Raw genomic sequence first — 13704 nt, 5'->3', positions numbered from 1 at the left:
AATGAAGTGATCTCTTTCTCCAGGGACTTGTGAGACACTGCTTTTGTAGAGATGACAACTTTGTACTACAGTTTTTACTCCCAGAATGGAAAACTCCCTGTGGCAGGTGAGGTGTTTTGAGTTTTGTATGACACATTGTTGGTGCCATCCACCCGGGAAGAGCTCAATAAACATGGCCCTGTCCAAGTCCATGACAATTATGGAACTCTCTGGCTTGTTCATTCAGTGAGCATTTGCTATATACCTATTGTGTGTCCTGACCTATGTTGGGCACTGCTGCTGATTCAGAAGCATTGAACACACCTGTGCTCATACTCTGTAATCAACAGGGCCTGCTATGTATTGTGCACAGAAATGACACCTGGTGTCTGTCATCACTACAGTAATGTATCATCATTATAGGAACCATCACAGTTTGCCCTAACAAAAAAGGCTTCATGGTCACTCAAGGAGGCGGAATCTTCCCTTGTCATGGCCACCCTGACTGCACCTCCTTGATATTGGTTTCTATTCAATTCTATTCTCTGATTCAATAAAAAGAAACTGGAAGGGAAATGATATTGACTTCCAAGGAGTACCAGAAAAGAATCTTCTAGGCCATTTGGCCAGACTCTCTGAAACAAGGATTCTAAGCCTCGGGGAGAGGCTTAGCCTCCTGAGAATTCTATTTCAAGATCTTTTTCCCAGAGGGCAGTCATCAGGGATGCTCAACCATCCAGGCCATCAGTTCCCCTACAGCACAGGAAGCTGCCCAGCTCTTACTCCTTATTTCAACAGGTCCCTCCAACCCAGGAAATCTGAATTTCTGTAAGGAAAGAAAGTAATTTATCATAAGTCTGCTGCTACAGAGTTAATTGTGTTTTAAACTCACTCTGTCCTACTTCCTCATCATCTCCTATGGCCAGCCAGAATTGAAGCCCTGGGAGGATGGCTTCATGTCTCAGTCTTGAATTTTAATGTTGAGGTGTTAGTAGGCCCCATGGGGCTCAGGCCTGTTTCCCTTGAAATGTGGGTAGAAATAGTCTTCAAGGAAACCAGGCAAATCTACTGCGACCAGGGCCCTGGGTGGGGCAGGTGGATTCACTGAAATGAAGGGTAAGCTCAGAGCCTCAGAATCCAGTGATGACTGGGGGCTCCTCTGTCTTACTCTAGCAAAGCTTTCAGCAGGGCCCAGCATGTGCTTCTATCTGAGGCAGAAAGGAACAAACTGTGCAGATTTTAGGCATGTTGAGATTGTCCTCTTGCTCCCTAGATACTCTAGGGTTTTCATGTTCTAGGATTTCATGAACATGGCATTATTTTTTGAATCTGAGGCTCCATAAAAGTCAGATCTTTAAGCAATTTCACCTTAAGCTATTTTATGTCTACTTTCACTTCCAACCAAGATGGAATAAAAATAGCCTAAGTTTCTTTCCCTCCTTAAATAATTTAAAAACTGAACAAACTTTATGAAACAAGATTTCAGACATTGGACAACAGGAAGTAAAGAATAGGCTTTCCTGAAAGAGAGGAAACAAACGAGGAGAGCCCTACAATTTCCCGATTGATGCCTGGAAAGTTTACCATTTTACATCTTAGAAATCATCTAATCTTCTGGACAAAGCCTGCCAGTTCCATGGTGACAGTGGCTTCCACCTGGGTGGTGTTGGGGGTCACTGCCCTCGTCTAATGTGCCTGGGAGTGGTTTTCTTGTTGTTTGGCACATATCTCATCACACTAACTTCCCAGTCTGTTTTTTGGTTTTTACCATTTCTGCTCAGATGTCTTCACCTTTACACATTCTGCTCAATTGTTTCTACATCCCTGTAAACCTTAGATCAAATACAGAAGCCCGGGTGCTGTGGCTTAAGCCTGTAACCCAAGCACTTTGGAAGGCCAAAGCAGGAGAATCACTTGAACTCAAGAGTTCAAGACCAGCCTGGGCAATATCACAACACCTTGTCTCCACAAAAAAAATGTTTAAAAATTAGCTGTGCCTGGTAACACATGCCCGTAGTCCCAGCTACTCAGAAGGCCCAGGTGGGAGGATCCTTTGAGCCCAGGAGGTTGAGGCTGCAGTGAGCTATGATCGCACCACTGCACTCCAGCCTGGGTGGTAGAGTAAGACCCTGTCTCTAAAATAAATAAATAAATGAGAAACAGAGAAGATCACTTTGGCTTTTGCTTCTACTCCTTACCTTGAGAACTTCTTTAGAATCCCCTTTTCAGGACCCATCACTCTCTCTCATCTAGAAAAGGAGCTGAATTGCCTCTGATTGGTCACTCATTTTTTTCATAAGTTTAATGTAGTATTTTAATTTCTTTTTCAAGCAGGAAATTGCTCAGTCTCTCTAGACCGCTGCCAAATTGCTCAGCTTTGCATTTATTTTAGCTATTACCATAGCATGCTCAGGAAGATGCTGTCCCATGGGGTGGCCCTTGATCTCCAACAAACAAGAATAAAAAAAAATAACCTTTGTGTAATGCTTTCCAGATTGGAAATTGGGTGATAAAGTCTGGGACACAAGCAGAGAAGGCTTTAAGTCCCCTAAAATAGTAACAACAATATCTGACATCAATAATCTTTTCACATGCATTATTCTTCTCAACTCATGACAACCATATAAGGTAATCAAGGCAGGGCAGTTTCTAGCAGTAATAAAAATAATTACTCATTCCGAAGGTGGTGTCCACAAAGATTTCTGCTCTTGTGTCATCCTTATTTTTCTCATTTTATATGTGACCCAGGTGTGCTCAGGTTTTCCTTCTCCTTGAGAAAGATTTAGATTGACTTAAATTCTCATCCCATGTCACTAGGAAATCCAATTTCCTTTTCAAGATTTCTGTCAATTTCAGGGGGCTTATGTCCTCATAGTCTCCCTTGACTCTGACTTCATGTAACTTCTCAACTCTTGGTCTCCACTTTGTCTCATAGTTGTTTCTATAGATTTGCCCTAGAATTAACCCAGCTTTAGAACTCATTCTTATTCTTCAATCTACGTACAGACACACACATATACATGCAGGGACTGTGTATGTAAAGCATACTGTGTTGAAGACTTGGAGATACGGAGAAGTGGGTCTCTCACATGAAAGTATAATAGAAACCACTTAAAACTGAATATCGGACCTCCCTATTCTAATGGGTAGATCTCCATACACATCTTAGTAGGCCATTCACTCTCTCCTCTCTCCCTTGTCTTCTCTTTATCCTAGTCTCTTCCCATCCCCCAAACTCATATTCATTTCTATGAAAGAACTGACTAGCATCTTTTTATGAGATCTCAATTTCCTTATCAGATACTCATCTCTTGTCCTAGGCAGTTATCAAGGGGTTTCCAAAGACAAAAACAGGAGGAAATCTGGAAACAGCCATGAAGATATTTTTGAATTACAAATGCAAACAAAGAAGCTGAGGCTCAAAGAATTTCTGTGACTTGCCCAACACCAAAGGAGTTACTACCACTACCAGTCCTTTGTTAATGGAAAGGCAAAAAGTCTCAGATGCACACTTTCCTATAAAGCTCCCAGTGCCAGCCTGAGGGCTTATGTAAGACATAATCAATTGTGCTTCAAACATTTTAGGGAAATAGCATAGCCTTCCCCATCTAGCACCACGAGGGGCTTGGGAAATGAAATTGTGCTGTGTGACCTGCTCGATGCTTATCTCAAGTCAGTGCAGGATTGTGGCTATTGTCCCCAGCCGCCTCAGGAAGTGTAAACACTAACGTTATTTTGCTTCCACTGTGTGTGATACTTATTGAGTGATATAGATAAAATTAGTTTCTCTTCCAGTAAACACAATACCCAACGTAAAGGGATTCTCAGGTTTTCTCCTTCCCTTTTGTATTATTTCTTCCTATTTATTCCTTTCTTCCTGCTCATTCCATTTATTTTAATGTGATTTGGACTTCCTTTCTATTCGTAAATCAATAGTTTCTAGCAGTAATAAAAATAATTACTTATCTTAGTGGTAAATGCCATGAAGGTTTCTGCCCTCATGTTGTGTTTATTTAGCCTGAACTGAGGCACACGTTGCATTTTCTAAGTAAACACAGCATACAGCAGCACTCCCTGAACAGTCGATCCCTGAAGATCCCATCACTGGCTTCTCGAATCCTCTTGTTGTGTCTGCAGACACTTGACCCTGACACAATTTGGATGGGGCAGACCAGGAGGGGTGGGACCTGGAACTAATGTGGAGATCCCAAAGCAAGTGCAGAGAGAAATGTTTCTAGTCCCACAGGTATAACACGGCATCAAGGAGCCCTGGCCTTGGCACTAGAGCTTCCAAGATGGAACGATGAATATGCCCTGGCAGGGGACATAACAAACAGATCCAGGAGCAGCCAGAAGCAGGTAGTGCGAAGGAAGTCTGAGAGTAACTAGCATGGCCCCTGCACTAAGGTGGAGTTAGGGGATCTTTCTCCCACTCAAGGGAGTGAGGGAGTGTTGAGAGTGAAGTAGGACAACGTCTCTAGAAGGACTGGGATACTAAGCAGGTTACCAAGACAAGGTCTCAACCTCATTCATTTATTCAACAAATATTTTCTCAATAGTCACTAGGTATCAGGCATTGTTTTGAGGGCTGGGGAAACAGCAATGAAAAAACTAAACATAGTTTCTACCCTCATGAAGCTTATAATCTATCAAGGAAGACAGATTAAATAATTGCAGGCCAGGCGTGGTGGCTCATGCCTATAATACCAGCACTTTGGGAGGCCAAGGTGGGTGGATCACCTGAGGTCAGGAGTTCAAGACCAGCCTGGCCAACATGGTGAAACCCCATCTCTACTAAAAATATTTAAAAAATTAGCCAGGGATGGTGGCGCACACCTATAGCCCCAGATACTCGGGAGGCTGAGGCAGGAGAATTGCTTGAACCTGAGAGGCGGAGATTGCAGTGAGCTGAGATCACGCCATTGCACTCCAGCCTGGGCAACAAGCATGAAACTCTGCCTCAAAAAAAAAAAATTAATTAAATAATCACAGAAATGATTATTTAATTACTCATATAAGTGCTGAGGGAAAGAGGTCCAGAGGGCTTTAAGAATGCACAAAAATGAGCCCTGGCTGGGTGTGCGGGGTTGAAAGCATTGCTGAGGGTACAGCATTTAGGTCGAAGTCTAAAGGATGAGTTGGCTATGTGAATGTGCAGAGGCTAGAGGGTGGAGGTTAGAGGTTGGAGGTCAGGACAGGGGTACAGGAAGAAGACTGATCTCACCAGAAGAAAGAGTTTGCACAAAGGCCTTGAGGTAGAAAGTGAGGCTTGACTCATTCAGTGACATGAAAGAAGGAAAATGTGCAGATGGAACAGATGAGACAGAACATGGTACAAGATAATGCAGGAGAGGCAGCCAGGAGCCAGCTCATGAAGTAGCTTATCACAGTCACACCACATGGTAAGACTGAAAATGGGGTCCCAAGAGAAGTAGGAAGCCATTGAAATGTTTTTTGAGAATAAGTGACACAATCTTATTCCAGTTTTTAAAAGATCATGTTGATTATTGTGTGAAAAAAGTAGGTTAGGGGCAAAGGAGAAGGGCAAATGTGGAGAATCCCGTTGGGACACTCAAGAAAACAGAGGGATGCCAGTTCTTAGAAGTGGGGCATAGGGTAAAGAGTGGATCCTAGGAAAGACGTGGAAACTCTGTGACAAGGACCAGAGACCAAAGTGGGCCTTGGGAACAAGGCTCTAGATCAGATTCAGCCCACAACCAGGATACGCTGGCACTGCTAAGGCTCAGAGGGTGTCGCTGGGCCTCTGGCACACCTTAGTCAGGTGTAACTTAATTGTCCAGGCAGGGGTGATGCTGAGCCTGCAGGGAGGAGCTGGTGGCCTCAGCTGAAGTCAGGGAGATGTTCCAGTTTCCTACGCTGCTGTAACAACAAAGCACCACAAACTGCATGGCTTTAAACAACAGAGATTTTATTCTCTCCCAGTTCTAGAGGCTAGAAGTCCAAAATCAAGGTGTTAGCAGGGCATGCTCCCTCCGAGACTCCAGGTAGAATCTTTTCTTGCCTCTTCCTTTTGGTGGTGACCATCCATCCTTGACTTTCCTTGGTTGCATGATTCCAGTCTCCGCCTCTGTCATCACATGGTATTCTCTCAGTGCACCGGTGTCTTCTTATAAGGACTGACGACTCATATTAGATTAAAGGCACACTTTCTCCAGCATGACCTCCTAACTAATTACAACTGCAACAACACTGTGCCAAATAAGGTCACATTCTGAGTTACTGGGGGTTTGAACTTCAAGATCTCTTCCAGGGGGCAAAATTCAATACTTTACAAGAGGGTGATTGAAGGGAAGACCACCAGGGCCTGACCTAGCCCTTTATACATCACAGTTTCTCTACCCAGCAAGATCTACAAGGACATCAGCTTTCACTTCTTCCATCCCCCTTTCCTTTCTGAAACTATTATTAAATATTTAGTCTGAAATAGGCACCAGGATATAAAAATGAAAAACATATAGTGACAACCCCAGAAGGAGCATATACACTAGCAGAAGACACTGACACATAAACAAGCAGTTGCAGGACACCCTGGCAATTGCTAATGTGGAGGAATATTCACCAGAGCAGCCAGGAAAAAGAGCTCACTGTGCATGGGAGGGTATGTATGTGGGGGCCAGGGAGCAGGGAGGCTTCAAGGCTTCACAGAGGAAGTGACTTTTAAAGGGTGGACAGACATTCATCAGATAGAAAGACCTCAAAGAAGAGGAATCAACATATGCAAGGCATTCATGCATTCAATAAATATTTAAGTGTCCACTCTATGTTGGGTGCTGTACTAAGCTTTTGGGATTAATTAGTGAACAAAAAGGCAAGGACCCCTGCCCTCACAGAGTGTACATGCTTGTGGGATGAAAAATAAAAAGCACATGGCAAACTGTTTGGGCAACACTAAGAACCCTGATGTGGCTAAATGTGAGTGGAGGGGTGAGAGTTTAGGCTGTAGGAAGGGGCCAGATTACAAAGTCTTTTTCACCACCCGGGGGAGCAGGAGGTCACAAGGAGCCCTGAATTCTGTAAGGACAAGGGCAGTATCTTGTCTGTCTTCATCTGTCCAGCACCTCATTCAACGGCTGACAGATGGCAGCTGCTCAGCAAGTGAATGAATGAATGAATGCATGAATAAGTGAATGAATGGCTTCAGATAAGCCAGTGAACAATAAGAAGTGTGTTTTTGAAAGATAATTCAGAGTGTAATATAAAAAAAAGGATTGAGATGAGATCAGTTAGAAGGAATTGCAATTGTCTAGATCAGTGGTTGCCATTTAGGTTTATTTATTTATAAATGATATATGTCAGTAGCACAACACTGATAAATAAATAAAACATACATCAAATATAAATTTTAACATAAAATGTTTAAAATAATGGAAAATAGAAATTCTCTTATATCCTTCTTCTCCTGCAGTGTAGACCCTTTGGAGACCAGTGGATCTCCTAGTGAATGAGGATTGAATAGTGGCAATGGCAAGGGAGTTGGAGAGGACAAGGGGTGACTCTGCCTTCCACACAGCAGCAAGCTGGACAGCCGCCAACCCTGCTGATGAGGAACGCCTGCAGACATGCACCAGCACTGAGCTGCTGCTCTAATATGACGCTGGATAAATCCTCAGACTAAATCCCAGTCTCTGACCCATGCAGAGGGATCACGGTAAAATACACCTTATCCAAGATCAGACAGTGTTTGGTAGGGAAACCTATGGGTGAAGTAAGAAGAGAAAAAAGAGGAAAGGTGACTAAAAGAAATGTGAATCAGTCCAAAGCAAATCCAGAGAAGGTAATGACCTTCTGCTGATGGTTTTAGGGACCTGGGTTTCTCTGCAAGTGGTAATCCCACCCAGGGCCTCAAGCTGTGCAACCAATTGACTATTTACCCACGTCAGTCATGAAACTGAAACAGGAAAAATGGAGGGGCCATAGCCAGGAGGCTCATTTTGGAAACGGACCACTTTGGAAATTCCTATAGGCAGGGATTATGTTTTCTCTATCACATTGTCCCTCACATGCAATGGTGACAATGCTCACTACCATTTATTGAGTACCTACCACAGGCCAGGCATTGTAGTAGGAGATTTACATTCAGCTCATGCACATGACAATCTCATAAAAAAGACATTGTGTTCTCCTTATTCTCATTTGATAGACAAGGAACATGAGGCCTAGGGATACGGAAAGCATACAGCTATTACTTGTCCAAGGTGAGATTAGAACTCATGTATGTCTGAGTCCAGTTGCATTAGCTTTTCACTATACCTCCCACTGCCTCATGTAGACATTTGGATCTGTAGGCTCTGGTCCTTCTCTCCCTTTTTGACCTTACCTCTCCCCATCCCTGCACCCCATGTGCTATGCTTGCCATACTAAACTTCCTGCTTCTCCCTAGAACATTACCCCTTCTATCGAGCTTCTTGAACTTGAATGCCAATGCTGCTGGTCCTCAAACTACATTTTGAGTAACAAAGATCTAGAAGCTCATTTGAAATGCAGAATCTCAGGCCCCACCTGAGACCTACTGAATCAGAATCTGCATTTTAACAAGATTCCCGGGTGATGTGTATGTGCATAATAATTTGAGAAGCACTGGTCTTAACCTGTAATACCCTTTCCCCTACTCCTCACCTCTTACTCATTATCATTTGAGCACACACAAAGTGCCAGGCACTGTGCTTAGAACTGAGGACAAAAAATCAAATTAAATACAATGCACAAACCCAAGACAATGATAATGTATTCACGAGAGAGACATGTAAATAAATTGTATTTTTAAAAGTGTGAGTGCTATTAATAAGGTAAGAACTACATGTAGTATATTATATGTCTCAGAATCTCTAAGCACCATCATAACAACAGGCACTAAGAAAAGGCTTATTGATATTTCTGGAAGAAAGTAAAGAAGGGAAAGAAAGGGATAGAAAGGAAAGGAGGGAGAAACAGGAGAAGGAAGGAAGGAGTTGTACTAAGCTATAATTTCTAAAATGACCACTCAAACAAGATGTGTTCATTAGTGACTTCCCCTACAGGGTATCTTCACTTGAACACTTGGATACTTTAACATCAAGATCATTGTAGTTCTCAACCCACTAAACTCTCTTCGTCTCACGTGATTCACCTTGACAATGGTATTACTGTCCTTTAAGCTATTAGCCTCTTGGATTTATCCTTGATTCTTCCTTCTCCTTTGAGCTTTCTATAAATCTATTACAAAACCTTGTTATTTTATTCATTCAGGCATCAGTTACTCAGTTCTACAGGCATCAGTTATACATGTTCTTAGCAGGACTCTAGGGTGGGAAAGATCTTATATAGCTGAAGTGCTCCCAGAAGTTCTCACAGGAGCTAGAGGGTCATTAACGTGTGGTCAGATGGAGGTCTGAGTCCTAGCCTGGCCAGTTGCCAGTTGTGACCTTGGGGAAGTTCCTTACTCTCTTTTCCACTGTACCTTTATATGTAAAAGAGGATAATGATATAGACTTATGCCAGGAATAAATGAGATACACATGGTTATTGTAATTGTCATGGAACAGGGTGGGGCTTAAACATACAGTCAGAGGACATGGCCTAACCAAAACAGAGAATAGGAAACTGCTGAAGGACTGGTGAGTCATCTGCTTGACCTGAGGCCCAGGGTGGGCAGGAAATAGAGGGAAAGAAGGCTAGAAACGCAGGTTGGTTGGGGTCCCATCATGGTGCAGCACTTCAATACCAACCTGAGGGATTTGTGATGAATTTAATAGTAATAAGAAAACACAGAAGGTTTCCACAGTAGGGAAATACATGATCAAAATTTGCTCTGACTTGATGTGTTAGATTGAGTGTAGCAAAGATGAAGAGGGAGGAGCCCAAGATGGTTCTGGACTTTAAGAGTAGGAAGACACTGGCGCCTTCAGCCAGGAACAGGGTAGTCCGGAAGAAACAATGGCTCACAGAAAGAGAGGTATCAAAACTCATTGTGATGGAGGAGGATACAGCAGTACATCCAAATGAAAACATCTAGCAGGCAGATGGGTCTGCTGACCTTGAGTTCAGGAGAAATGCTGGGCTGGCAAGACAAACTTGGAAGACATCCATGAAAAATACCAGTTAAAACATGGATAAATACCCTGAGGGAGTTCAGGAAGAAGAGGGGAGACCCTTAGGAAGTATGACCCTGGAAAATGAGGAAAGCAAGAGGAGTCAGAGAAGCTAAGAGAAGAATCAGGATTTGCAGAATCACGGGATTAAAAGTAGTTTTCTTTCAAGAGTGCCAAATCTGACAGATCAGGACAGAGAAAAGGACTTTGAAAGCAGCAGAGATAGGCACAGCAGACCTACAACAGAATAGCTGAGGAACCAAGGTATCCTTCTTCATAGTTTCTGTGGCCTAATCTAATGCAAGGCTAGTGGAAAAAGCTTGATAAATATTGACTACTTGAACCACACAATAGCTGCCACATCTTGGGCTGAATGACTTCTGCAAAGTGCCTGAGTCCCTTGCCATATTCCACTCCATGTTGAGTTTCTTAGCCTGTTCTAGAAGAGAAATTAGTAACCCTGGCTCTGAAGTAGTGGTAGGGAGAGCTCACAATCAAGAAGGAGCTGTTTCCTCAATCCTGCAGTCTTGGGCCTGAGGCTAACCTCTTGCCTGTCTTTGGGCCATCTAAGTGAGACGGAAATCCATGTCTGTTTTTAACAGCTCCAGAGGCAATTCCTCAACATCTCTTGGTAGTCTGTTCTATAGTCTCTGAAAACCCTTGCCAAGGTCAACTAGAAAATAGGCCCTTGTGACCCAGAGTTTCTAAAAAGCTCACTTGACAAATTGAGTAATGAGTCAATCAAGAGGAAAAATAAAGTCAGAGATCACCCTGCTTCTGGAAGGACCGAGTCATCTACAGCTAAAGGAGTGGATTGTAAAGGGGACACAGAGGCCAACATCCTGGAGAGTGCACAGCACAGCTCTAACTCAGGGAACTGAGGAGCTCTGTCATGCCCAAGAACATCAGAAGCTTGAAGTACAAAGGATCATTTGTTCTGTGCCCTGAGAATGAACTCCAATGAAGTTATTCACAAGGAATGATTGTTGTCAAGGTCTTGTCATTGGAGCTTTCCCATTTTCGTGGTGTCTAGAACTGATAACCCTTGAGATCATGTATAGTGCTCGAAGACAAAGGGCATCACTTAACATCAAGGAGCCACATTAAGAAAAGAGTGGGGGGACAAAGAGGTACAGTGCAGAAAGAATTAGAATAAAAACATATGCTTGCTGCAGGTATTGAGACAGAGCTTATAGGGAAGCTTATAGGGAATGTCAAGGGTCCATGTCTGTGAATCATGTTACATTTTATTGGCATTCTACTAAATATGATGTATGGGAAATGTTGTATTGGATTTTTAAGAATACTTTTAGTCATTCAAATGTTTATTGAGCAGCACCTAGGTGCCACGCACTAGGCTGGGCAACAGGGCACGATGGTGCATTCTCTTGAGGAGTGAACAGCTTATTGGGAGAGACAAGTGTGAGCAAGGAACTGTGAAACAGCTTTAAAGGTGTTAATAGAAGCAAGGGACTTACCATGAGGAGACAGAAAGAGAAACTTAGAAGAGCAGCACAGAGAAACTGTTGCAAATTCTGGGGATTTCATTTGAGCTACAGATAGCCCTGCATTGGCATTTGCAGACTGAATATGCATGAATGATAAAAACCCCCAGTGAGTAATCCAAAAGGTCCCTGTCATGAGGTAATTTGCTGAGACACAAATTTGAATGGGGCTGCCAGGAGGCCAGAGTGTACTTGCCAGCCACTCAGCTAGTGAATGACCACTCCTAACACTGGCATTTGTGTCCCAGTACCACTTAGCTCTCCTTACTTTCTCATCGACATCCGCACAATAATTCTCATACTGTGATCAATTTTTTCTTCACAGAGTCAGGGAAATAGGGCGTTAATAAGGTAAAGATATAAGGTAATGAAGTAAGAAGTTTATTTTAATGGCAAAATTTATTTAAGTAGCTTTAGAAATTACTTTGGCCCCATATTCATAGAACCATTAAGAGTCTAAAAAGATTCTTTACATTTTTCAGCTACACTTTACCGTACTTTATGGTGGAAATTATATGCCATGATGACATTCATGATTTTGGAGACTCACCAAGGTCATGGATGAACCCTCTGAGAATGTCAAGGGTCCAAGTCCATGAATAATGTTACATTTTATTGGCTTTACTAAATATAACAAAATCTTATTTTAAGTTTGAAAAATAAGATATTCTTCCTTATGTGATTTCCCTATATTTTGGGAAAGGCTGCCATTCCCCTCCCCGTTTATGAAGGTTTAACATGTGTCACCAGAAGACAAAGGAGTTATTTATCCACAAAACTGCAGCCTGACAAGCAACTCAAATTAAGAAACATAACTACATTCCCCAATGAAATGCTTTCCTTTTGGTCTATTGCCTGGAACCTAATAACCACTGAAACTCAAACTCTGACCCCACCCTGCCCCCCAAATACCTCCAAGAACCTCGAACTTAACATGACATCACCCACAGTCCCAAGCTGCTTCCCCTTCTATCACCTTGTTCAGTTACCAAGTAAATACATTTACCTCCTAAGTGATTCTTAAATGCAAATGCAGCCAGGCCTCTCCAGCCCCACAGCACTGCCCCAAGCTAGCCGAGGGTCAAAGTATCTGTCATCACAATATTCTGAAACGCTGCCTCCTCTATTCTCTATATGGATGCAGAGTAATTTTTCTCAAAATGCATGGCTTGCCTTCATTGGCTTCCACTGAAGTTTAAGATAAGGTCCTATCAAGAGAAGACACTGGGCCCTACTAGAGGGTGAAGGGTAGGAGGAGGCAGAGGATAAAAAAAAAATACCTATTGGGTACTATCCTCATTACCAGGGTGATAAAATAATCTGTCCAACAAACCCCTATGACATGCAATTTACCTATATAACAAACCTGCACCTGTACCTCTGAACCTAAAAGTTAAAAAAATTATTCACCAAACCCAGTGATCAAGGTTAATAACACCAGTAAAAAGTCATATTGCTATCATGTACCCCTGACATAATGCAATGAGAAGGCACTTCATCTTCATGGTATTCATCCCCCAAATCCAAAACCCTGGTCTAATCATGAGGAAACATCAGATAAATGCAAATGAGGAACAATTCTACAGAATATCTGACCAGTCCTCTTTAAAAATGTCAAGGTCATGAAAAACAGAGAAAGACTGAGAAGCTGTCACAGATTGAGAAGAATAAGGAGATGTAATGACTAAATGCAACATCATATCTTGGATTAGATTCTAGAGAAAAAAAGACATTAGTGGAAAAACTAGTAAAATCAAAATAAAGTCTGTAGTCTTAATTTTAAAAAGAAAAAAGATATGGTCTATCAACAACCAATTGATTCTTGGACAGTGATTCTGATGCCCATGGTCGACACATAACACCTTGAGAAATGCCTTGACTGTGAGTTGTTTCTCCCCCTCAGTACAGGATGAGTTCTTTCATATCTCTATGCATTTTGCATTTGCCAAATGCTGGTCCTGTACTACTCATTCACCTTTCTCTTTTCAGTGAGACTCTACAGTCTGTCAGTATTCAATTTAAATGTCACTACTTGAGCAAAGTCACACGTAAATCTCTCAGTGGCCAGAGAGCCACTGAGTGGCTCTCTGACCACTGAGGGATTTACATGTGGCCAGAGATTTACATGTCTG

At 42.5% G+C, this 13704-nt stretch overlaps 1 long non-coding RNA gene across 1 annotated transcript in view, besides 3 other annotated features; it reads right to left on the bottom strand.

Moving 5' to 3' along the window:
• LOC112268276 (uncharacterized) overlaps positions 1–13704 on the bottom strand; it is a 175024-nt gene that overhangs the window by 159052 nt on the left and 2268 nt on the right. The window lies entirely within an intron of this gene.
• Positions 5389–5558: an enhancer, noted in NCBI's record as "experimental_1002 CRE fragment used in MPRA reporter constructs". NCBI's record gives its function as "activates a minimal promoter by MPRAs in K562 erythroleukemia cells, with activity observed for both the introgressed and non-introgressed 1:166145613 variant alleles {active_cell/tissue: K562}" and the evidence as "EXISTENCE:reporter gene assay evidence [ECO:0000049][PMID:34662402]".
• Positions 11594–11673: an enhancer, noted in NCBI's record as "active region_2025". NCBI's record gives its function as "activates an Ori minimal core promoter by ATAC-STARR-seq in GM12878 lymphoblastoid cells {active_cell/tissue: GM12878}" and the evidence as "EXISTENCE:reporter gene assay evidence [ECO:0000049][PMID:35858748]".
• Positions 12514–12573: a silencer, noted in NCBI's record as "silent region_1509". NCBI's record gives its function as "represses an Ori minimal core promoter by ATAC-STARR-seq in GM12878 lymphoblastoid cells {active_cell/tissue: GM12878}" and the evidence as "EXISTENCE:reporter gene assay evidence [ECO:0000049][PMID:35858748]".

Source organism: Homo sapiens, chromosome 1 (genome assembly GCF_000001405.40).
Source record: "Homo sapiens chromosome 1, GRCh38.p14 Primary Assembly".
NCBI classification, from domain to species: domain Eukaryota; kingdom Metazoa; phylum Chordata; class Mammalia; order Primates; family Hominidae; genus Homo; species Homo sapiens.
Note: the sequence above shows the minus strand (reverse complement) of the source record. Positions and strands in the feature narration are given on the sequence as shown.